The sequence below is a fragment of the Homo sapiens genome, chromosome 2 (assembly GCF_000001405.40).
Source record: "Homo sapiens chromosome 2, GRCh38.p14 Primary Assembly".
Lineage (NCBI taxonomy): Eukaryota > Metazoa > Chordata > Mammalia > Primates > Hominidae > Homo > Homo sapiens.
Window position 1 is genome coordinate 195676894 of NC_000002.12, and position 24932 is coordinate 195701825.

Genomic DNA, 24932 nt, shown 5'->3' on the forward strand with positions numbered 1-24932 from the left:
CATCTATTCATGTAGATGATGTGTTTCTCCAGGTTTTTCAGTTCTTTGCTGTCCTTCAATAACATCTTAATAAGTTTTTCCTTTTAGTGGTTTTATATGTCTTGTTCTAATTAATTCTAGAAACCATACAATGTTGTTTATAATTACATTTTGTGATTGGTTTTCAGTGAAGAAAATTTGATTTTTATAAAACTTTGTATTGAAATAGACTGTGTTCAGAAAGTACACAGAGCATAAGTGCCATGAATTATCACAAAGTAAACATATTTACATAACTACTACTGATATCAGGAAAGACCATTACACTTTGCAGTCCCCTCCATTCTGGTCTTCTCCCAATTATTACCCTCTATCTCTCTTTCAAAAAGTAATCATGGCCAGGTATGGTAGCTCACACCTGCAATCTTAGCACTTTGGGAATTTGAGTTGGGAGGAGTGCTTGAGGCTAGGAGTTTGAGACCAGCCTGGACAATAGAGCAAGACCCCAAAAAGAAGAAAATTAAAACTGAGCGTGGTGGCACACACAGCTACTTGGAAGGCTAAGGTGGGAAGATCTCTTGTGCCTGGAAGTTTAAGGCTCCAGTGAGCTATGATTGCGCCACTGTACTCTAGCCTGGGTGTCACAGTGACATCCTGTCTCAAAAACAAACAAAAAAAAATCCACAAAGTTTAGTTTTATTCCTTTTTACCTTTATATAAGAATTATACTGCTTTCTTTGGTGTTTGTCATTTTTTTCCCAATATTTGTGAAATTCATCTATGCATGAAGCTGTAATTTCATTTTTATTCCTGTGTGATAGATTTTTCTGTTTCATTTATCATTTTGTTGTTGATTAACATTTAGGCTTTTATCAGATTTTTTTTTTTTTTTTTTTGACCAGAGTCTGTCTCTGTTGCCCATGCTGGAGTGCAGTGGCACGATCAGGGCTCATTGCAACCTCTGCCTCCTGGGTTCGAGTGATTCTCCTGTGTCAGCCTCCCAAGTAGCTGGGCTTACAGGCACATGCCACCACGCCTGGCTAATTTTTGTACTTTTAGTAAAAATGGTTTTACCATGTTTGCTAGGCCTGTCTTAAACTCCTGACCTCAGGTGATCTGCCTGCCTTGGCCTCCCAAAGTGCTGGAATTACAGGTGTGAGTCACCACACCCAGCCTTTTTTCAGTTTTGACTGTGATGAATAATGATTACGTGAATATTCATGTTGGTATTCATGTACATGGATTTCTGTTGGGCATATACCCCAGATTAAAATTGCTGTGTAAGTACATAGGCTTACATTCAGCTTCTGGCAGATCTTGCCAAACAGTTTTTCAGAAGATACAATCTCTAATACTACTGTCAGTACACAAGTTCCATTTAACTCTATATATTCTTGCCTACTTTTGATATTGGCAGTATTTTATATTTCAGTTATTTTCATGGGGTATATAGTGGTATCTAATTGTGATTTTAATTTGGTTTCCTGAAGACTTCTGAGCTGAACATATTTTCATTTGCTTTTTAGGAGTTTGGCTGCTGTTATGAAGTGCTTGTTCAAGTTACCTACTCATTTTTTCATTGGGTCGTCTTATTGTAATTTTCATATTGATTTATAGAAGTTCCTTATATATTTTTGAGTATACATTGTGGTAGTCTTCTCCCAGTCTGCAGCCTGCCTTTTTAGTTAGGTTTTTTTTTTTTTTTTGGATGTCTCTTGATGAAACATAAATTCTTAATTTCAGTGTAATATATTATCAATTTTGTGTTCTATCTCGAAGGTCTTAAAATTAGTCTCCCAAATCTTCAAGATCTGCGCTTTCCAGTACAGTAGCCAGTAGCCACACGTCTGTTGAGCACTTGAAATACAGTTAGACTGAATTAGGATGTGCTGTAAGTGTAAAATACATGACAGATTTCAAAGACATAGTATTAAAAAGAATGTAAAATATTTTAATAATTTTTATATTGATTAGATGTTGAAATTATAATATTTTGGATATAATGGGTTAAATAGAATAGTATGAAATTAGTTTCATCTATTCTGGAAAACTTCAGAATTACATAATTGGCTCTTATTATATTTCTAGATTCTTGAAGTATGCTTGTCCAATAGAACTTTCTATAATGATGGACATGTTCTGCGTCTACGTTGTCCAACATACTAGCCATTTGCTACATGTGGCTGTTGAGCAATTAAAACATAGTCAGGGTGACTGAGAGGCTGCATTTTAAATTTAATTTTAGTTCATTTAAGTACCCGTATGTGACTAGTGGTGGCTACCATTGAATTGGACAGTTCTGGACACTTTATCATTTTAGCATTTCTTGTTTCAGATTTATGTTCAGGAGCTATTAGCAATTGATTTTTGTAATGATGTGTGAGGTAAGGGTCAGATTTTATTTATTATTTTCTTTTGTGTGGAAACCTAATTGACCAAGCACCAAGGAAAAGACCATCCTTTCCGGTTTTTAGCTTTTGTCTTCTGTTCCTTTAGTCTGTTTGTTATTGCACCAAATACCACAGCATCTTTGATAATTCATAGAGTAAATGCTTCAATTTTGTTCCTCAAGGAATACATCTTAGCCGTTCTTGGCCCTTTCTATTTCCACATCAATATTAAAAACAGTTAATCAGTTTTCACAAAATTCTGAGATTTTGACTGGGGTTGTATTGGATACATAGCTTATCCAGTCATAACATGATATAGCCATCCGTTTATTTAGGTCTTTTATTTCTCTCAGTAATTTTCTGTCAATAATATTTCTCTCAATAATTTCTCTCTTTTCTATGTAAAGTTCTTGTATGTCTTTGGTTAGATACATTCCTAGCTATTTGCTACTGTTGTAAATGTTACTATTTTTGAGTTTTATTTTCTAATTATTGCTGATATATAGGAATATAATTTATTACTGTCCTTATATTCAGTAACTGTACTAAACTAACTTATTCTTAAAGATTCTTTAAGGCATGCTGCATAATTAATTCTACCATTTGTGAATAATGACAGTTTCACTTTTCTCTGGTTCTTAACATATTTTATCATGAAGGAAATGGAGTAAAACTTTTTTTAGTGGATTGGCAACTTCCAGAGAATTAGATTGTTTTGAATGTGTCTAGGTAGAAACTAATACTTGTCTCTCTCTTTAAATCTCTTTAGGAAAAATAGAAATGAAGGTACATATGCACACAAAATTTTGCCTCATTTGTTTGCTGACATTTATTTTTCATCATTGCAACCATTGCCATGAAGAACATGACCATGGCCCTGAAGCGCTTCACAGACAGCATCGTGGAATGACAGAATTGGAGCCAAGCAAATTTTCAAAGCAAGCTGCTGAAAATGAAAAAAAATACTATATTGAAAAACTTTTTGAGCGTTATGGTGAAAATGGAAGATTATCCTTTTTTGGTTTGGAGAAACTTTTAACAAACTTGGGCCTTGGAGAGAGAAAAGTAGTTGAGATTAATCATGAGGATCTTGGCCACGATCATGTTTCTCATTTAGATATTTTGGCAGTTCAAGAGGGAAAGCATTTTCACTCACATAACCACCAGCATTCCCATAATCATTTAAATTCAGAAAATCAAACTGTGACCAGTGTATCCACAAAAAGAAACCATAAATGTGATCCAGAGAAAGAGACAGTTGAAGTGTCTGTAAAATCTGATGATAAACATATGCATGACCATAATCACCGCCTACGTCATCACCATCGTTTGCATCATCATCTTGATCATAACAACACTCACCATTTTCATAATGATTCCATTACTCCCAGTGAGCGTGGGGAGCCTAGCAATGAACCTTCAACAGAGACCAATAAAACCCAGGAACAATCTGATGTTAAACTACCGAAAGGAAAGAGGAAGAAAAAAGGGAGGAAAAGTAATGAAAATTCTGAGGTTATTACACCAGGTTTTCCCCCTAACCATGATCAGGGTGAACAGTATGAGCATAATCGGGTCCACAAACCTGATCGTGTACATAACCCAGGTCATTCTCATGTACATCTTCCAGAACGTAATGGTCATGATCCTGGTCGTGGACACCAAGATCTTGATCCTGATAATGAAGGTGAACTTCGACATACTAGAAAGAGAGAAGCACCACATGTTAAAAATAATGCAATAATTTCTTTGAGAAAAGATCTAAATGAAGATGACCATCATCATGAAGTAAGTATAAAAAGATGTCCGATAGCTGCTTCGTAATTCTCACATAATTGTGGTGCATTTTAAAAACAGGATAAGTAACAGTGGAGTATTAATCATATTTAAACTTATTTCCATATGTTTACCTATGAAATATCAGGTAATGTTCATGAACAGAATACATTAAGGAATCAGAATCAGTGTAAAGATTTTTAAGTATCCGGGCGCGGTGGCTCACACCTGTAATCCCAGCACTTTGGGAGGCCGAGGCGGGTAGATCATGAGGTCGGGAGATTGAGACCATCCTGGCTAACATGGTGAAACCCCGTCTCTACTAAAAATACAAAAAATTAGCGGGGCATGGTGGCGGGCGCCTGTAGCCCCAGCTACTCGGGAGGCTGAGGTGGAGAATCACTTGAACCCGGGAGGCAGAGGTTGCAGTGAGCCGAGATCATGCCACTGCACTCCAGCCTGGGCGACAAAGTGAGTCTCCATCTCAAAAAAAGAAAGAAAAAAGATTTTTAAAATCTGAATTTCACTTGTATTTGTTTGTTTCTTATATTCTCAAATTTGGTTTCCTCAAATCCAAACGTATTTTTAAGAAATTTTTTTTTGTAGCACGTATCTGAAGACTTAAGTGTTTTAATGTTGTTAGAAAATGTATTCCTTATGAATTATTTGACCCTCCAAGCTAGTCTCTTACTGTTATTATTGTTAGCCATGTTCTAGGTATTTGAAAATTAAAATTTTTTAATTGTTGTTCAACTTGTCCTCTTGGGAAGTAACTAGAACAGTTTCTAGTTCATAAATTGTTAATTTATTGAATTAACTATTGAGTGGTTCCAAGTCATTGGTGTAGCTCCAAAGTCAGGTATTTTGCACATATGGCTAGCTTGTTTTCTCTGTGTCACTTTATGATAAGGCCTACTTACTCATGATAATTGTTTTTGTCTCAGGCCTTTCACAGACTTAGGATGAATATAAAAAGGTATAATAATAAGAAACTAATAGTAATGGGATGTCCTGTTTTCCTTTAAAATTTTCATACTCTTGGGTACTTACACATTTGGTTGACTCCTTGATTTTCTTTTTAACTATTCACCTTAAGCACATTCATTTTAGTTTCATTAAAGGGATGTTGATTCCTTGTTTATTCTATTTTTAGCATTCTTATTAAAGTTTAGAAAAACTTGTTGAGTTTGTTGTTCATATGTATAGAAAGTAGCACCATCAACTGTGGAAAATGACCACATCCTTTTCTGTCACTGTCGTTGAGATATGTTTTATGTCTAGGTAAAGATCTTTGTGTTTCTTCCCTTGATAAATCATCAGCTATTTGGTTTTCAGCAGTTATAAACACTGATTTTAAAATAACATATATTAAGATCTTAGTATGATTTTAAAGTATGCATTCATTTTATTATTATTTTCAAAAATTTATTTTTTGTAAAGATGGGGTCTCACTATATTGCCCAGACTGGTCTCAAACTCCTCGCCTCAAGTAGTTCTCCAGCCTTAACTTCCCAAAGTGCTGGGATTACAGTGCATTAATTATTATGACTTAGGATAATTAATTATTATGACTTAGGATAATATCCTAGAATATTTTGTTGATAATTACAAGATTTTATTGTTCATTTCCTCTTTGTATCACATCCGTGAGGTTTGCATTATTAGACTTGTTAATGCTATTCTGATAGGTCTGATGTATACTGGGAATCTCATGATTCTGAAATGTTCAATACTTTTAATAGAGTAGTACCTTATGGTAGTTAAGACCTAAGAAGATCAAAAGCAATTAAGTGGTGCTAAATAGAAAAAAATAAAAAATAAAAAAAAAAAACTAAGAAGAATCATTTTTCTGTGTTTATAGGTTTTGATTTTAGTTTTTGATGGGTTTTTTTTGGTGCCATAGATAAAGCCATATAGTGAGGTAGCAAGTCAATAAACAAGCATGCAACCAGAGCAGATATATGTGACAAAGGGACAGTGCCAATCTCTTTTGCCGTAATATTAGATACTTGTTTTTAACCATATGATGGATCCAAACTTGTTTGCTATTTGTTTTCTGCGTTGTTTTGTTTTTTATTATTTTTTTCTTTCTCCTCTTTAATCAGTTTTAAGCTTACTTTTTTTTTTGTTTGTTTTTAAAGTACCAGTGGATGAAGCTGCCTTTATTTTTATCTTCCAGTTTTGTTCCTATCAACCGACATTGGGCTAGAATTTTCCAAAACAATATGCTTTTAGAGTGCATTTGGCAATGAAAATGTCTATATAAGCCATTAAAGTACTCTAAATCTATTTAATCTGTTTCACAGATAAGGATCTTGAGTCACCGATGATTGCAATTTGATAGGGAAATGATTTTTCTCATCATCCTACGAGAGTCTTGGGGATATAGTTGTGAGTCATCCTTATCCATGACAGAAAGTCATTATCTTTCATGTGTTGGAGTAGAAAAATTATTAAAGTCCATGAAAAGTTTTGGGTAATATAGTTGAGTGTATCCCTATTACAAATTCTTATTAAAAAGTTTTATTTGTAATAGATATCTATGTATTACAGATTATTTGCAAGTAATATTTAGAGTATTTCTTAGGCAGTAATTTATTTTTTTGCATAATCTCCTTAAAGACACTCTTATTTAATTTGTTTTATCACTTTCCTTGCAGTGTTTGAACGTCACTCAGTTATTAAAATACTATGGTCATGGTGCCAACTCTCCCATCTCAACTGATTTATTTACATACCTTTGCCCTGCATTGTTATATCAAATCGACAGCAGACTTTGTATTGAGCATTTTGACAAACTTTTAGTTGAAGATATAAATAAGGATAAAAACCTGGTTCCTGAAGATGAGGCAAATATAGGGGCATCAGGTAAGAGAGATTTTAAGTTTTTTCTCCTTAAAATAGTACCTGTACTTACTTTTTAAACTATAGTTGAATTAGAAAAGAATCCTAAATTATTGACTTTCTTTTGTTGTCAGACTTTAAATATATTTTAATCAGGTTTAGATATGCATATTTAAAAGAAACTGGGGGAAGACGGGGGCACAATGTGTTTTATTTATCTCTTCTGGTATATTACAAAGGGATATTTTGCTATGGACGGAGAACTAGATTAAAAATGAAATATAGATTTGTGATAAGTTGATTATTTTTGATGAGCAAATATAAATAATGGGACCCCCTAAATAAAGTTATTTGTTCTTCTAATTACTTAACATTTATCAGGGTGCCTCTGTTGAAAAGCAAAGATGATTAAAATTTTAAAGACATAAAAAGGGAAGCTACTGTGTGTAAACTCCAGGAATGTCTGGGAAATGCCTAACAAACTTGACATGTGAACTTTATTATGGGTATTTCTAGAGAGCTTCAACTAGGGTAAAACCAAAACTATTTTTAAATTTCTCTTAGGCTCTTTTTTCATCGTACCCACTTGGCTCCACCTTGGTGTTCACAGGTACCTCCCACTTAATATTTCAAAACTTATACTCCACACAAAATTTGTACCCCTTAATGGATCCCAAATATCATTAATTTCATTCTTTTGATAAAATCTAGAACTCTTTGACTTTCTTTTTCTCTTTTTTTTCTTTTCCTTTTTTTCCCATTCTATAATCAGGTATGAAGTCCAGTTAAAGCTATCTCTTCAGTATCTTCTAACTTCATCCACTCTGTCATAACAATTCTGGATTTTCTTGGTTATTGGATTGTTGAAATAACTTCATAACCTTCCCTGCCTGTGTTCTTGTCCCCTTGCAAGACATTCTTAGCACTTAAACTAGATTTACCTTTCTAAAATGCAAAGAGATTCTGACACAGAATTTTTTCTTTATAGTGATAGCTAACATTTTGTTAATACATACTTTTTAAATCTTATTTACTTAAACACATATCGCAGACACTGTTCTAAGCTGAATTCATTTACTCCTCACAACACTTTTATGAGATAGGTAATGTTACTCTTCCCAGTAACTTTTCTGATATCTCAGAGCTAATAAGTGGTAGTACTGGGATTTAGTCCTGTAACCATTTTGCTATCTTATGTGTTGTTTTAAATGCATTTTTTTTTCACTAAATTTTGGCAGTAATCCTATGAGGGAGATATTATGATCCTTGTTTTTAAAAACAAGATAAGGAAACTGACAGAGCCCACAAACCCTAAGGTTTGTCTGATGAAACCTCTGAGTATCTAATCCCTATGACATTGTCTTCCAAATTAAGTTAGTTCTGGTATCACCTTTGTGATTTTTCCCATATATCTTTACACTATTTAATACTTTGTATTTTATCACTAATATATATTTTTTATATCTCTGGAACATGGATTTGATGTGATGTGCTAGTTATATTTTTTTCTCATACATTTTAGGAAACTGCATCATGCTATATTGTTCAGAGCCCTTTACTTGGCCCACAAGGCTTTCCGTAATATGATCCTCCCTGCCTGCCTTGACATTCTTAACGCTCATCATTCATTTCTCTCCTCTTTTCTCAGTTCTAACCATAATAAACTACTGATAATAGATTGTGCCATTTTTCTCCCATCCCTTTCTCCCTCTTCACTTTCTAAACCCCCATGCCTGACTGACGACTACGATTCTTCAAAGATTCAGATCAAGTATTGGCCCTTCTGGGTAAACTTAGTGACCATCCTAGGCTAAATTATGTTCCCTTCCTTGACATCTCTAGATGTCTCCCTCATAGTATAGATCTTGGGGGATCTTAATAATTGAATTAATCTGTTTTTGTTGGACTTTAGTTGCTTTAATACAGTGACTAAACCATTTAAGCTCTTATGTTGATTGAATGAATACAATTGCTTAATATTAGTCTATAAGCGTTCAGTTATAATCCAGGAAAGATACTTGTTGAAATGTGTCTTTGAAGATCATTATGTGAATGTATCAGTCAGCCTGGTATACTTCGATAATGAATGTTCTCAAAATTAGTTGGATTTTCATGAACTTTTTTACCATGAAGTAATGAAAAACTATGACGGAATTACTGTGAACACAGTTCTGGATGAAATGCCAAAGACAGAGTGGCTTTAGAGGATAGTAATTAAAATGAGCAAAATGATGTATATGAATATGGACTTAAAACTGAATTCTGGCATAATAAAGGATTGAGAGGACAGAATTTTTAAACATTTCATAGCATAGGAATAAGGTAGACATCCCATTCCAATGTATAAGAATTTTATTTGAGATAGAGATACAAGTAAAAGGAAATATTATTACATAAAAAGTAAAGTCTTCTAGGCACCTACATTTCTATTTCTGGTTAATATCTTTGCAATAGGAAAATAAATTTAGACTAGATAAATTAATTATAATAACCTATGCTCTCTACTAAAATACAAAAAATTAGCTGGATATGGTGGTGCGGCCTGTAGTCCCAGCTACTCGGGAGGCTGAGGCAGGAGAATTGCTTGAACCTGAGAGGCAGAGGTTGCAGTGAGCTGAGATCACGCCACTGCACTCCAGCCTGGCAACAGAGTGAGACTCCGTCTCAAAACAAAACAAAACAAAAACCTATGTTTATTGGGACTTTACCATGTGCTGTACTAAACATTTTTACAAGGATATTTCTTTTAATTTATTAAACCCACTATACAGGCACTTCTGTTTACTTTCATTTGGTGAGGAAAAGGAGGCTTAGAGAATAAGTCAGGTAACTTGCCCAAGGTCACACAAACTGCTGCCAGGTAGCAGAGCCATGCTATGAACTATAGTATTCTCCTTCTACAACATATAATCATAACCACTGTGCTGTAATTCTTATACTTCCTGTTCTACTGTTTCCTCCTGAAAAGGTTTTGGAGAGTGCTTTGCTAGAATATAAGTGGCAGAGAAATGAGGCCAGTTTTATAGAATTATTTTTAGTAGTATTTTGACAGATTTGCAAGTATTGTTTTAAGTATAGATAAGTTGGTGGTTTAAAACAAAATCCAAGAATGGTCTTCTTGGTAAACAAGTGGGGCTCTCTGGTAAGATGAGTAAAAGGAGAGAAAGTGGGGCTTTGAACTGGATTTGAATTCTGATCTTCGAATAGATAAATTTGTCCTCTTTCTTGACTTCATGCTTATTGATCTTGGTGGATGAATAAGCGCCCTGAGAGGCCTAGTCCCTCTCAGGTGCCTGTAAATTCTCACTGTGGCAGGAGAAAGGGGAAGCTAGGTCTGAGATTAAACTTAATTAAAAATAAAATAGATTTATTTGTTCCTTACAGAGAAAAATGGAGACTGACAAGATTGATCTAAAGTTAAAACTAATAGCTTTTTTTTCTTATTTTGAAGGCTTCTGAAAAGATTCTTATTCTTTGTTGTTATGTTACCTGTGGATTATGACTTTTAATGAGAGTTGTCTGTATTGTAATATTGCCATAATCAATATATTGTAATGAAGCTGTTGACAGATGCTTGACTATAGCAATACTGAAAGTTACAGCTTATTCAATCTGAAAAGCCTTAGAGGAAATTGTACTTGCTTTGAAAACAAATATGTTACTAATAGTGAATATTGATTAGTTGTTTGCAGGTGGTTATTAGCATTGTCAGAAATGCAGCTTGAATTAATTATGTGCTGATAGATGCTAATAATTGTTAGAGATAATGCCCTGCTAGTAATTAGTTTTAATGACTACTGCACCATTAAGAAAGGTTAACTTGTTCTATATAAATCTCCCATAGTGGCACAGCTACTACCTCATTAACTTTGTTCAAAGACTGCTGTAAACCTAATATGCTATATACTGTGTATGGTAGAAATCGTTTGTTTCACAAGATTGGCTCATTTAGTCCTAGAGTTGACCCTAGCTTAATTACCAAGGGGGGATGTGAATAGGCTGCTAAGCATTTTGTGTCAATTAAAATGCTGAAGCAGTGTAGAAAACTGCCATCTTGCACATGCTTTGAACCAAGTTAATTAGAAAGTTTCCACAGATGAGCGCTTCTTTTTAAAAGAATGCATTTTCTCTCTAGATAATGAGAAAGGGAGTCAGTGAATAACTAAGCTTGAAGACCTTTAGCATTTTAAGCAACCCAATTTGCAGAATAAGTGAAGCTTGTTTCAGACATTTGGCGCTTTTTTATTGCATATGGTATCTTGGGTACATATAAAGAAAACATTTATTAGTGGTATTTAATAGTTTGTATATTGTTTTATATAAGGTTTTTAAAAGATACCTTTTGTTTAGTTTTTGCTTTATACCAAATGAATTGTGATTAAAAAGCACAACAATTTGGTTAGAAATCAAAACAATTTTATTACCACCATTGGTTTTTTTTCCTACGTGTAGGAAATTAGGATAGAGTTTATGTAAGCTTAAATTTAAATGTTATAAATTCTACAAATAAAGTATTTAAATAACATGGGAAAGTATTTTAGTACAGTAAGTTCAAAACAACTTCCCATTTCTGCTCATAGGTCAAAAGGATTATTCCTTGGAAGATTCCAAGTTGTTAGAAGAATGAACTATCATTTGAATTTGTAGTGCTTTTAGAAAACTGAAGTTTTTTTAAAATTAATAATTCAGGATAAGAAGACATGTTCGTAATGTTGTATACTTAGGAGAATAGTAGTAGGACTGTTTTCCTGATGAAATAGTTGTCCAGAAATAGTTGCAATCTACAGAAAATATCTGGAAATTTTCTGATTTATCTGAAAAGGGAAATCTAGCTTTTTACTCCTTATTTGGGACTGGCAGGAGTAAGTGACAATGTGTGTTACATGCAAAATAAATAATTAACCTTACTACTTATGTATATTTTTAGTTGGCATTGAAATAAATATATTCCGATAATTTTATGTAGTTATAAGTTTGTTTTGTCAAGGTAGAGATACTCTTTTGCCTGTCTGCCTCTATCCTAATTAGCTCAAATTTAGAAGGACTGCCATTTGGATTAATAAAGTTAGTAATCCTTCCTACTTTCATGTTTAATTGTACTTTATATTTTTATAGATTTTCTTTTCTGTGACTCCACCTCTATGAGGTAAACACAGGAGTCATAAATAAATCATTTGGCCAAGGATTCTCTGAAAAGACTGTGATGATTTAGTGGAGAAAACAGTGGATTAAAAATTAGAGGACTGGCTAGGAGCAGTGGCTCACACCTGTAATCTCAGCACTTTGACAGTCTGAGGCAAGAGCATCCCTTGAGGCCAGGAGTTCGAGACTAGCCTGGGCAACATAAGGAGACCATGTCTCTATAAATAATTTTTACATTTTTGAAAAAATTAGCTGGGCATGGTGGTGCATGCCGGTGGTCCCACCTACTTAGGAGGCGGAGGCAGGAGGATGACCTTAGCGTGGGAGGTTGAGGCTGTAGTGAGCTGTGATCACACCACCGTACTCCAACCTGGATAACGAAGTGAGAACCTGTCTCAAAAAAAAAAGAGGACTTTGGGTTTAGTTTTAACTTTGCTATTTTTAGCTATATAAATGTTTTTAAACTGTAGTAAAATTATATAACATAAAATTTGCCATTTTAACAAATTTTTTTCCAATTTTACTGTGATGAAATACAGTAACAAAATTTGTCATTTTAACCATTTTTAAGTATACAGTTTGGTGATATTAAATACATTCATAATGTTACACAACGATCCATACTATCTGCCTCTGTAACTCTTTTCATCTTGTAAAACCAAAGCTCTATACCCATTAAATAGTAACTCCTATTTCCCCCTCTCCCCAGACCCTGGGACCTATCAATCTACTGTCTTTATGTTTATGATTTTGATTAAGCATCTCATATAAATAGAACCATACATTATTTGCCTTTTTGTGACTGGCTTATTTCACTTAGCATTATGTCCTCAAGGTTCATCCATGTTGTAGCATCAGCAATTTCTTCCTGGCCGGTCACAGTGGCTCACGCCTATAATCCCAGCACTTTGGGAGGCTGAGGTGGGCAGATCACCTGAGGTCAGGAGTTCGAGACCAGCCTGACCAACATGGTGAAACCTCATTTCTACTAAAAATACAAAAATTAGCTGGATGTGGTGGCGGGTGCCTGTGATCCCAGCTACTTGGGACGTTGAGGCAGGAGAATTGTTTGAACTGGGAGGCAGAGGTTGCAGTGAGCCGATATCACACCACTGCACTCCAGACTGGGCAACAGAGTGAGACTCTCTGAAAAAAAAAAAAAAAAAAAAAAAAAAGAAAGAAATTCCTTCCTTTTTAAGGCTGAATAATATTACATTACATGTATATACCACATTTTGCTTATGCATTTATCTGTCCATAGACAGTTGGGTTGCTTCCACAGTTTAGCTAATGTGAATAATGTTGCTGTGAACATGGGCATCTCTCTCTCTCTCTCTGAGACCCTGTTTTAAATTCTTTTGGTTATATACCCAGAAGTGGAATTGCCCTATCATTTGGTAATTCTGTTTTTAACTTTTTGAGGAACTGCCATACTATTTTCCATAATGGCTGTACCATTTTACATTACCCCCAAGAGTGCACAAGTCTCCCAGTTTCTCCACATCTTTGCCAACACTTGTTTTCTTGATAGTAGTCATCGTAATGGTGTGAGGTGGTATCTCATTGTAGTTCTGATTTGAATTTTCCTAAAGATTAGTGCTGTTGAGCATCTTTTCATGTGCTTTTTGGCAATTTGTATATCTCCTTTCAGAAAATGCCTATTACAGTTCTTTGCCCATTTTTTAATCTGGTTATTCTTTTTGTTGTTGAATTTTAGGAGTTCTCTATATTCTGAATATTAATCTCCCTTATCAGATATATGATCTGCAAATATTTTCTCCCATTTTATGTATTGCCTTTTTACTCTGTTGATAATTGTCTTTTTGTTTTTAAATTTTTATTTCAATAGGTTTTTTGGGGAACAGGTGGAGTTTGATTACATGAATAAGTTCTTTAGTGGTGATTTCTGAGATTTTGTTGCACCCATCACCCAACCAGTGTATACTGTACCCAATGTGTAGTTTTATCCCTTACCCCCCTCCCACCCTTTCCGCTGAGTCCCCGAAGTTCATTGTATCATTTTTATGCCTTTGTATCCTCATAGCTTAGCTCCCAATTATAAGTGAGAACATACGATGTTTGGTGTTCAATTCCTGAGTTACTTCACTTAGAATAATAGTCTCCAATTCCATCCAGGTTTCTGCAAATGCCATTGTTTTATTTCTTTTTATGGCTGAGTAGTATTCCATGGTATATATGTGTATCTATATATATACCACATTTTCTGTATCCACTCGTTGGTTGATGGGCATTTGGGCTGGTTCCATATTTTTGGAATTGCAAGTTGGGCTGCTGTAAACGTGTGTCCAAGTATTCTAGTTGTATAATGACTTTTTTTCCCCTGGGTAGATACCTAGTCATGAGATTGCTGGATCAAATGGTAGATCTACTTTTAGTTCTTTAAGTAATCTCCACACTGTTTTTCCATAGTGGTTGTACTAGTTTACATTCCCACCAGCAGTGTAGAAGTGTTCCCTTTTCACCACATCTATGCCAACATCTATTATTTTTTGGTTTTTTGATTATGACCATTCTTGCAGGAGTGAGGTGGTATCACATTGCGGTTTTGATTTGCATTTCCCTGGTAATTAGTGTTGTTGATCATTTTTCCATATGTTTCTTGGCCATTTGTGTATCTTCTTTTGAGAGTTGTCTATTCATGCCCTGAGCCACTTTTAGATGGGATTGTTTGTTTTTCTCTTGCTGGTTTGTTTCAGTTCTTTGTAGATTCTGGATATTAGTTCCTTGTCGGATGCATAGATTGTGAAGATTTTCTCCCACTCCGTGGGTTTTCTGTTAACTCTGCTGATTATTTTCTTTTGCTGTGCAGAAGCTTTTTAGTTAAATTAAGTCCCATCTGTTTATCTTTGTTTTTATTGCATTTGCTTTTGGGTTCTTGGCATGAAGTCTTTGCCTAAGCCAATGTCTAGAAGGGTGTTTCCAATGTTCTGGTTTCAAGTCTTAGATTTAAGTCTTTGCTCCACCTTGAGTTGATTTTTTTATAAGGTGAGAGCTGAGGATCCAGTTTCATTCTTCTACATATGGCTTACCAGTTATCCCAGCACCATTTGTTAAATAGGGTGTCCTTTCCCCACTTTATGTTTTTGTTGGCTTTGTTGAAGATCTGTTGGCGTATTTGGCTTTATTTCTGGTTTCTCTATTCTGTTCCATTGGTCTATGTGCCTATTTTTATACCAGTACCATGCTGTTTTGGTGGCTATGGCCTTATAGCATAGTTTGAAGTCAGGTAATGTGATACCTCCAGATTTGTTCTTTTTGCTTAGTCTTGCATTGGCCCTGTAGGCTCTTTTTTGGTTCCATATGAATTTTAAGATTTTTTTTTCTAGTTTTGTGAAGAATGATGATGGTATTTTGATGGAAATTGCATTGAATCTGTAGATTGCTTTTGGCAGTGTGGTCAATTTCACAGTATCGATTCTACCTATCCATGAGCATGGGACGTGTTTCCATTTGTTTGTGTCATCTATGATGTCTTTCAGCACTGTTTTATAGTTTTCCTTATAGAGGTCTTTAACCTACTTGGTTTGGTATATTCCTAAGTTATTTTATTTGTAGCTATTGTAAAGGGCGTTGAGTTCTTGATTTGATTCTCAGCTTGGTTGCTGTTGGTGTATAGCAGAGCTACTGATTAATTTTGTATCCTGAAACTTTGCTGAATTCATTTACTAGTTCTGGGAGCTTTTTGGATGAGTCTTTAGGGTTTTCTAGGTACACGATCATATCAGGAAACAGTGACAGTTTGACTTCCTCTTTACCAATTTGGGTGCCCTTGATTTCTTTCCCTTCTCTGATTGCTCTGGCTAGGACTTCCAGTACTATGATGAATAGAAGTGGTGAAAGTGGCATCCTTGTCTTGTTCCGGTTCTCAGGGAATGCTTTCAACTTTTTCCCATTTAGTATAATATTAGCCGTGGGTTTGTCATAGATGGCTTTTATTACCTTAAGGTATGTCCCTTCTCAGCAAAATTGCTGAGGGTTTTAATCATAAAGGAATGCTGGATTTTGTCAAATGCTTTTTCTGCATCTATCAAGATGATCTTGTGATTTTGTTTTTAATTTTGTTTATGTGGTGTATCACATTTATTGACTTGCAGATGTTAAACCATTCCTGCATCCCTAGTATGAAATCCACTTGATCATGGTAGATTACCGTTTTGATATGCTGTTGGAGTTGGTTCACTAGTATTTTGTTGAGGACTTTTGCATCTGTGTTCATCAAGGATATTGGTGTGTAGTTTTCTTTTTTTGTTATGTCCTTCTCTCGTTTTGGTATTAGGGTGATACTTGCTTCATAGAATGATTTAGGGAAGATTCCCTCCTTTTGTATCCTGAGGAATAGTGTCCGTAGGATTGGCACCAATTCTTTGAATGTCTGATAGAATTCAGCTGTGAATCTGTCTGGTCCTGGACTTTTTTTTGTTGGCTGTTTCAATCTCGCTGCTTGTTATTGGTGTGTTTCTATATTTTCCTGGTTTGATCTAGGACGGTTGTATATTTCCAGGAATTTATCCATCTCATCTAGGTTTTCTGGTTTATGTGTGTAAAGGTGTTCATAGTAGTCTTGAGTAATAATCTTTTGTATTTCTGTGGCATCAGCAGTAATACCTCCTGTTTGGTTTCTAATTGAGCTTATTTGGATCTTCTCTCTTCTTAGTTAATCTCACTAATGGTCTATCAATTTTATTTATCTTTTCAAAAAACCAACTTTTTGTTTCATTTATCTTTTGTATTGTTGTTTGTTTGTTTCAGTTTTATTTATTTCTACTCTGATCTTTGTTATTTCTTTTCTTCTGCTGGGTTTGGGTTTGGATTGTTCTTGCTTCACCAGTTCTGTGAGGTGTGACCTTGGATTGTCTATTTGTGCTCTTTCAGACTTTTTGATGTAATAGGCATTTAATGCTATAAACTTTTAGCACTGCTTTTGCTGTATCTCAGAAGTTTTGATAGGTTGTGTCACTATTATCGCTCAGTTCAGATAATTTTTTAATTCCCTCTTGATTTCATTGTTGACACAATGACCATTCAGGAGCAGGTTATTTAATTTCCTTATATTTGTATGGCTTTAAGTGTTCCTTTTGCAGTTGATTTCCAGTTTTATTCCATTGTGGTCTGAGACAGTACTTGATACAATTTTCATTTTCTTAAATTTACTGAGACTTGTTTGTGCCTTGTCATATGGTCTATCTTGGAGAGTGTTCCATGTGCTGATGAATAGAATGTATATTCTGCAGTTGTTGGGTAGAATGTTCTGTAAATATCTGTTCCGTTCATTTGTTTTAGGGTATAGTTTAAGTTCATTGTTTCTTTGCTGACTTTCTGTCTTGATGATTTGTCTAGTGCTGTCAGTGGAGTATTAAAGTCAAAACTCAAGGTCTGCTGTTTAGATTATTTTGTCCCACTGGGTGCTCCCTTGATATGGTGTTCTCCCCCTTTCCTTAGGGGAGACCTGAGCTACAGGATTGTTTTTGTTCTTCTGGGTTCAGCCATCCAGCAGAGAGCTACTGGGCTCCAGGCTGGTACTAGGGAGTGTCTGCAGAGAGACCTGTGGTGTGATCCACCTTCAGGTCTGTCAGCTGTGGATACCAGCACCTGTTCTTGAGGAGGTAGCAGGAGAGTGAAATGGACACTGTGAAGGTCCTTGATTTTAGTTTTGTTTGGCGCTCTGGTTTTGTGTTGGTTGGCATCGAGCCAGGATGTGGCGCTTTCAAGAGTGCATCAGCTGCAGTTGTATAGGGAGGATCAGGCGATGGGTGGGGCTATAGAGCTCCCAAGAGATTATGTCCTTTTATTGCGGACTTTTCCTCAATTCAACCAAAGATGTGGTTCTTGTCCTTCCTCGGTCATGAAGATTTAGGCTCGCAGATGGGGTCTGAAGGGTGAGCACAGCAGGGTTTTACTGAGTGAAAGAAAGAAATGGGGAAAACAGACTCTCCGCGGGGCCGGAGTCCCTGCTAAAGTGCTTCTCGCTTCGCAGGTAGGCATCCCAGATTCCACACAGGAAGAAGAGGGGCCAGGCTTCTCCCAGCTGCAAACGGAGGCAACTTCCTGAGGCTCCACCCCAGTGCGCATTCCTCTCAGTGCTCAAGCCAGTTGGAGTTTTTCTGGGGACCCCCTCCCACCTGGCTGTCTCACTTTGCCTTTGGCAACCTGGGCAGGTAGAGAAAGACCACCAGGTTGGGGTAGAGATAGGCATGGCTGAGCTCAGACTCTCCTTGGGTGGGGCTTCCTGTGGCCGCTGTGGGGGATGGGGATGTGGTTCCCAGGCCAATGGAGTTTTGTTCCCAGGGGGATTATGGCTGCCTCTGCTGAGTCACACAGGTCATCAGGGAAGTGGGGGAAAACTGGCAGTCACAGGCCTCACCACACTCCCACACAACCTGCAGTCCTGAAGGTGGGTCTCACTCCCACCATTCCCCCGGAGAAGCACCGAGTCTATTTCCAGGCAGCCAGTGAGCAGGACTGAGAACTGCCCGAGATCACCAGCCTCCCCACTGAGAAAGCAAGTGGACTCACAGTTTTTTTGGTGTCTCAGGGAGCCTGCAGAGGCAATCCAGTTCCTCCAAAGGTCTGTGAATTCTCTCAGCTTTTTGGTATGTTGCTGTGGTAGTTCTTGGAGGAAAAGTTCAGGATGTGAGTCTCCACATGCTGCTCTGTCCGAGCAGGAGCTGCAAGCTATTCCAGCCGCCTATCCGCCATCTTAATCCGTAATTGTCTTTTGATGCACAAATTTTTAAAATGTTTATGAAATCCAGTTTGTCTGTTTTTTTGTTTTTGCCTGTGCCTTTGGTTTCATTTTTCAGAAATTATTCTCAAATCTAATGTTGTGAAGCTTTTGCCCAGTTTTCTTCTAAGAGTTTTATAGTTTTAGGTCATATATTTAATTTAGGTATTTGATTCATTTTGAATTAATTTTTATGTATAGTGCTAAATAAGAGTCCAACTGCTTTCTTTTGCATGTGGATATCTGGTTTTTCTTGCATCATTTGTTGAAAAGACTGTTCTTTCTGTCATTAAATGATCTTGCACCCTTGTCAAAAATCATTTAACCATATATTTGAAGGCTTATTTCCAGGCTCTCTCTTCTATTCCATTGGTATGTCTGTTTTTATGCCGTTACTGAACTGTTTTGATTACTGTAGCTTTGTGTAGTAAGTTTTAAAATCAGGAAGTGTGAGTCCTCCAGTTCTGTTTTTGTTTTTCAAGTTTATCTTGGCTATTTTGGGTTCCTTGCAGTTTCACATGAATTTTAGGATGTTTTTTATTTTTTATTTCTGAAAAAAAAAAAAAAAACCTATCATTAGGATTTTAATAGGGATTGCATTGAATCTGTAAATCAACTTGGGCAGCATTGACATCTTAGCAGTACAGTCCACCCTTAATATCTGTGAGTTCTGCATGTGCAGATTCAACCAACCCAAGGACCAAAAATATTTGGGGAAAATATAAAAATAATACAAGAGTAAAAAAATAACACAAATAAAAAGCAATACAACTATTTGCATAGCATTTATATTGTGTTAGATATTATAAATTACAGTTGGCCCTTGAACAACGTGGGGGGATTAGCAGTGCTAATCCCCGTGTAGTCGAAAATTTGTGTATAACTTTTCGCTCTCCCAAAATACAACTACTAGTAGCCTACTGTTGACCAGAAGCCTTACCAATAATATAGTCAATTTATGTCAACAGTATGTTATATCTATTATATATTGTATATTCTTAGAATAAAATAAGCTAGAGAAAAGAAAATATATTAAGAAAATCATAAGGAATTTATGTAGAATTTATTATTAATTGTAAGGATATGCAGCAGAGAATTTATTTTAAGCAAAGTGAGAGTTTATTGGAGAAAGTATAGTACACTTGGAAAAGGGCCAAGCAGGTGACTTGAAAAATCAAGTGCCTGTGTGGAATCTTTAGGATTTTCTATTCGTTATTCATATTAACTATTCATTAAATGAAAGTGAATCATGATAAAGGTCTTCATTCTCATCATCTTCATGTTGAGTAGGCTGAGGACAGAGGTGGAAGAGGGAGGGATCTGTTGGTCTTAACTGTCTCAGGGGTGGCCAAGGCAGAAAAATATCCATGTATTAAGTGGATCCTCGCAGTTCAAACCCATGTTGCTCAATGATCAACTATAATTTAATAATGATTTAAAATATAAGAGAGGATGTGCATAGATTAAATGCAATTATTATGCTATATTACATAAGGCACTTGAGCATCCACAGATTTTGGTGTCTGTAGGGGGGTACTAGAACTAATTTCTGCAGATACCAAGTGATGACTGTATTAAGTCTTCCAATCCGTGAACATGGGGTATGTTTTCATTTATTTGTCTTCTTTAATTTCTTTCTGCAATATTTTGTAGTTTTCTTTTTTACTCTTTTTTTAAATTTAACTTTCAAGTTCAAGTTACACATGCAGGTTTGTTATATAGGTAAATTTGTGTCATAGGATTTTGTTGTACAGATTAGTCACCCAGGTATTAAGCCTAGTGCCCATTAGTTATTTTTCCTGATGCTGTCCCTCCCCACCTTCACCATGGAATAGGCGTCAGTGTCTCTTGTTCCCCTCATAGAGGGGACAGCCTACAGAATGGGAGAAAAATTTTGCAAAGTTATGCATATGACAAAGCTCTAATCTCCAGCATCTATAAGGAATTTAAACAAATTTACAAGAAAAAACGACCCCATTAAAAAGTGGGCAAAGGACATGAATAAACACTTTTCAATAAAAGACATACGTGCAGCCAACAAGCATATGAAGAAAAGCTCCACATCACTGATTATTAGAGAAATGCAAATCAAAACCACAATGAGATACCATCTTACACCAGTCAGAATGTTTTGTAGTTTTCATTGTACAGGTCTTCTACCTCCTTGGTTAAGTTAATTGCTAAGTATTTTATTCTTTTTGATGCTATTGTAAGTGGAATTGTTTTCATAATTTCCTTTTCAGATGGTTCATTGTTAGTATATATAAAAATGCAACTGATTTTTGTGTTAACTTTGTATCCCGCTATTTTGCTGAATTCATTCTAATACTTTTTTGTGTGAAATCTTTTTTGTTTTTTTTAAACAGCAGAGAATTTATTTTAAGAAAAGTGAGAGTTTATTAGAGAAAGTAGAGTACTTGGAAGAGGGCCAAGCAGGCAACTTGAAAAATCAAGTGCTTGTGTGGAATCTTTATGATTTTCTATATGTAAGATCAAGTGCAAACAGATGTAATTTTACTTACTCCTTTCCAAATTGGATGTTTTTAATTTTTTTCTTGCCTAATTGTTTGGCTAGAACTTCCAGTACTATATTGAATAGAAGTGATGAAAGCAAGCATCCTTGTTTTGTTCTTCATCTTAGAGGAAAGGCTTTGTCTTTCACCATTGAGTATGATGTTTACTGTAAGTTTTTCATATATGGCTTTTATTATGTAAGGTTGTTTCTGTCTGTTCCTAGTTTGTTGAGTCTTTTGATCATGAGAGGATATTGAATTTTGTCATGTGCTTTTTCTGCTCATTGAGATGATCATGTGGGTGTTTTTTTCTTTATTCTGTTAATACATATGGATTTTTATATATTGAACTTTTATTGCATTCCAGCAATAAATCCCATTTAGTCAGGTTGTATAATCCTTTTAATATGTTGCTGGATTTTATTTGCTAGTTTTTTTTTTCTTTGACAATTTTTACATCTGTGTTCATAAGGGATATTGGTCTGTAGTTGTCATTTCTTGTAGTGTCTTTGATACCTTTAGTATCAGGGTAATGCTGGCCTCATAGAATGAGTTAGAAAGTGTTACCTCCTCTTTGATTTTTTTGGAAAAAGTTTGAGAAGGATTGGTATTAGTTCTTCTTTAAATGTTAGGTAGAATTTATCAGGTCCAGGACTTTGTTTTGTTGGAAGATTTTTGATTTCTGATTCAGTCTTACCAGTTATAGTCTATTCCCATTTTCTGTTTTTTCATGATTTAGTCTTGGTAGGTTTTGTGTTGCCAGGAATTTGTCCATTTCATATAGGTTATCCAGTTTGTTGGTTTACAGCTGTTCATAGTATTCTATTATAATCCTTTTTATTTCTTTGTAATCAGTAGTAACATCCCCACTTTAATTTCTGAATTTAGTAATTTGTATCTTCTCTCTTTTTCTTAGTCAGTCTAGCTAAAGGTTTGTCAATTTTGTGATCTTTTCCAAGAATCAACTATAGGTTTCATTGATTTTGTTTTTCTGCTCTCTATTCATTTACCTCTGGTCTAATTTTTATTATATTCTTCCTTCTGCTAGTCTTGGCTTATTTTGTTCTTCTTTTTCTAGTCCCTTAAGTGTAATGTTAAGTTTTTGGTTTGAGATCTTACTTGTTTTTTTCATGTGAGTGTTAATAATTATCTGTTTTTCCCTTAGCACTAGTTTAGATGTATCCCTTAAGTTTTGGTTGTAGTTTTGTTTTCATTTGTCTCTTAAGTATTTTCTAATGTCCCTTGTAATTTCTTCCTTGATCCAGTTGTTAAGAATATGTTGTTTAATTTCTATGAATTTGTAAATTTTCCAGTTTTACTTCAGTAGTTGATTTCTAACTATTCCATTATGGTAGGAGAAGACACTTTGTATTATATTTATATTTTTAAATCTCTTGAGACTTAATTTGCGACCTAATACATGGTCTATCCTGGAAAATGTTCCATGTGCATTGATGAATGTTTCTAGTGCTGTTTTGAGTAGTGTTCCTTATATGTATATTAGATGTAGTTGGTTTATTGTATTAAGTCCTCTATTTCCTTGCCTGTCTGCTGGATAGCTGTTTTATTCATTATTGAAAGTGGAGTACTGAGGTCTCCAACTATTATCTCCCGTCAATTGTGACAGTTTTTGTTTTGTATATTTTGATATTCTATTTTTAGGTACATAAACGTTTATAATTGTTTTATCGCTGTCCTTCCTTGTTTCTTGTAACCTTTTTTGATTTAAAAGTCTAGTTTGATATTAGTTTAACCACCCCTGCTCTCTTTTGGTTACTATTTTCATGGAATATCGTTTTCCATCTTTTCAGTTTCAGCCTGTTTGTGTCTTTGATGTAAAGTGAGTCTCTTGTATATAACACATAGTTGACTCATGTGTTTTTATTCATTCTGCCAATTTCTGTCAGTTGATTGGAGAGTTTAATCCATTTACATTTAAAGTAATTACTGATAAGGAAGGACTTCTGTTATTTTGCTGTTTGTTTTTCTGTATGCCTTAATGCTTTTTTTGTCCTTCATTCCTACTGCTAATGTCTTCCATTGTATTTAGTTGACTTTTTTTGGTAGTGAAAAGGTTAAATTCCTTTTTCATTTCCTTTTGTGTATATTCTGTGCTGTTTTCTTGTGGTTATTATGGGGATTACGTTTAGCAGCCTAAAGTTAAAACAGTCTAATTTGAATTTATATCATTTTAACTTCAATAGCATACAAAAATTCTGCTCCTTTACAACTTCATCGCCACACCTTTCTCCACACCTTTCAGGTTACTGTTTAGTGTCCTTTCCCCTTGAAGGACTCTCTTATTTCTTACAGGGCAAGTCTAGTGGCAACAAACTCCCTCAGCTTTTGTTTACTTGGGAATGTCTTAGTTTCTCCCTCACTTTTGAACGTCAATTTTGCAGCATATAGGATTCTTGGTTGACAATTTTGTTTTTTCATTTAGGACTTTGAATGTATCGGTCTATTGCCTTCTGACCCACAAAGTTTCTGTTGAGAAATCTGCTTGTAATCTTATTGAGAGCTTCTTATATGTGATGAGTTGCTTCTCTTGCAGCTTTCAGGAGTCTCTCTTGGTCTTTCAAGAGTTTGATTATAATATGTCTTGGTGTGGGTCTCTTGAGTTCCTCTTATTGGAGTTCATTTAGCTTCTTAGATGGTTATATTCATGCCCTTCATCAAATTTGGGAAGTTTTTAGCCATTATTTCTTAAAATATTCTTGCTGTCCCTCCCCCCCACCCCACCCCTCCCCTTCATCTTACTTGACTTCTACAGTGTATATGGATGTTGGTCTGTTGGTGGTACCCTCCAGGTCCCATAGGCTCTGTTCGTTTTTAGTCAATATTTTTTCTTTCTGTTCTTCAGCATCAGTAATTTCCATTGTCCTGTTTTCAAGTCCACTGATACTTCAGCCTGCTCAAATCTGCCTTTGAATCTCTCTAGTGAATTTTTCATTTCAGTTATTGTACTTCGCAGTTCCAGAGTTTCTTTTTGATTTATCTTTAGTTTTTCTACCCCTTTATTGATACTTCCATTTTGTTTATACATTATCTTCTTGACTTTTTTTTTTTTTTTTAGCATCCTTCAGACAGTTGTTTTAAAGTCATTGTCTAGTAGATCTGCCATTAGGTCTTTTTCAGGGACAGTTTCTGTGATTCTTTTTTTTTTTTTTTTTTTTTTTTTAATGTGCCTTGCTTTTTTGTTTCTTTGTATGCCTTTTGGTTTTATGAAAACTGGACATTTGATTCTAATAATATGCTAACTCTGGAAGTCAGATTCTTCTCCTTCCCCAGGGTTTGCTATTTTCTTGTTAAATTGTGTTTGTTTGTTATTAATTTGGGTTGGGGAGGGTTATTGTTTTATGCTGTCTCTGTGGGATAAACATAAGATTTTCACAGGTTTTTTTTGTTTTTTGTTTTTTTGAGACAGGATCTCACTTTGTCACCCAGGCTGGAGTGCAGTGGCATGATCATGGCTCACTACAGCCTCAACCTTCTGGGCTCAGGTGATCCTCCCGCCTCAGCCTCCAGAGTAGCTGGAACTACAGG

General features: G+C 35.3%; 1 protein-coding gene across 10 annotated transcripts in view, besides 2 other annotated features; it reads left to right on the top strand.

Moving 5' to 3' along the window:
• Nucleotides 1-24932, top strand: part of SLC39A10 (solute carrier family 39 member 10) — a 124672-nt gene that overhangs the window by 63865 nt on the left and 35875 nt on the right. For 9 of the 10 annotated variants that reach the window (XM_011511504.3, NM_001127257.2, XM_005246689.5 and 6 more), the window contains 2 exons: nucleotides 3139-4157; nucleotides 6806-7013. In XM_011511504.3, coding sequence (XP_011509806.1) covers nucleotides 3150-4157; nucleotides 6806-7013 — 1216 coding nt within the window. In that variant the 5' untranslated portion in view covers nucleotides 3139-3149. Of the gene's footprint in view, nucleotides 1-3138; nucleotides 4158-6805; nucleotides 7014-7553; nucleotides 13312-24932 lie in introns of those variants that run through there. The other variant, XM_017004523.2, reaches the window with a different exon arrangement.
• Nucleotides 17886-19085: an enhancer, noted in NCBI's record as "P300/CBP strongly-dependent group 1 enhancer chr2:196559503-196560702 (GRCh37/hg19 assembly coordinates)". NCBI's record gives its function as "activates an origin of replication core promoter dependent on BRD2, BRD4, P300/CBP, MED14 and CDK7 cofactors, with strong dependence on P300/CBP, by STARR-seq in HCT116 cells {active_cell/tissue: HCT116}" and the evidence as "EXISTENCE:reporter gene assay evidence [ECO:0000049][PMID:35650434]".
• Nucleotides 18292-18586: an enhancer, noted in NCBI's record as "tiled region #4685; HepG2 Activating non-DNase unmatched - State 10:DNaseD, and K562 Activating DNase matched - State 5:Enh". NCBI's record gives its function as "activates a minimal TATA promoter and a strong SV40 promoter by Sharpr-MPRA in HepG2 and K562 cells {active_cell/tissue: HepG2 | K562}" and the evidence as "EXISTENCE:reporter gene assay evidence [ECO:0000049][PMID:27701403]".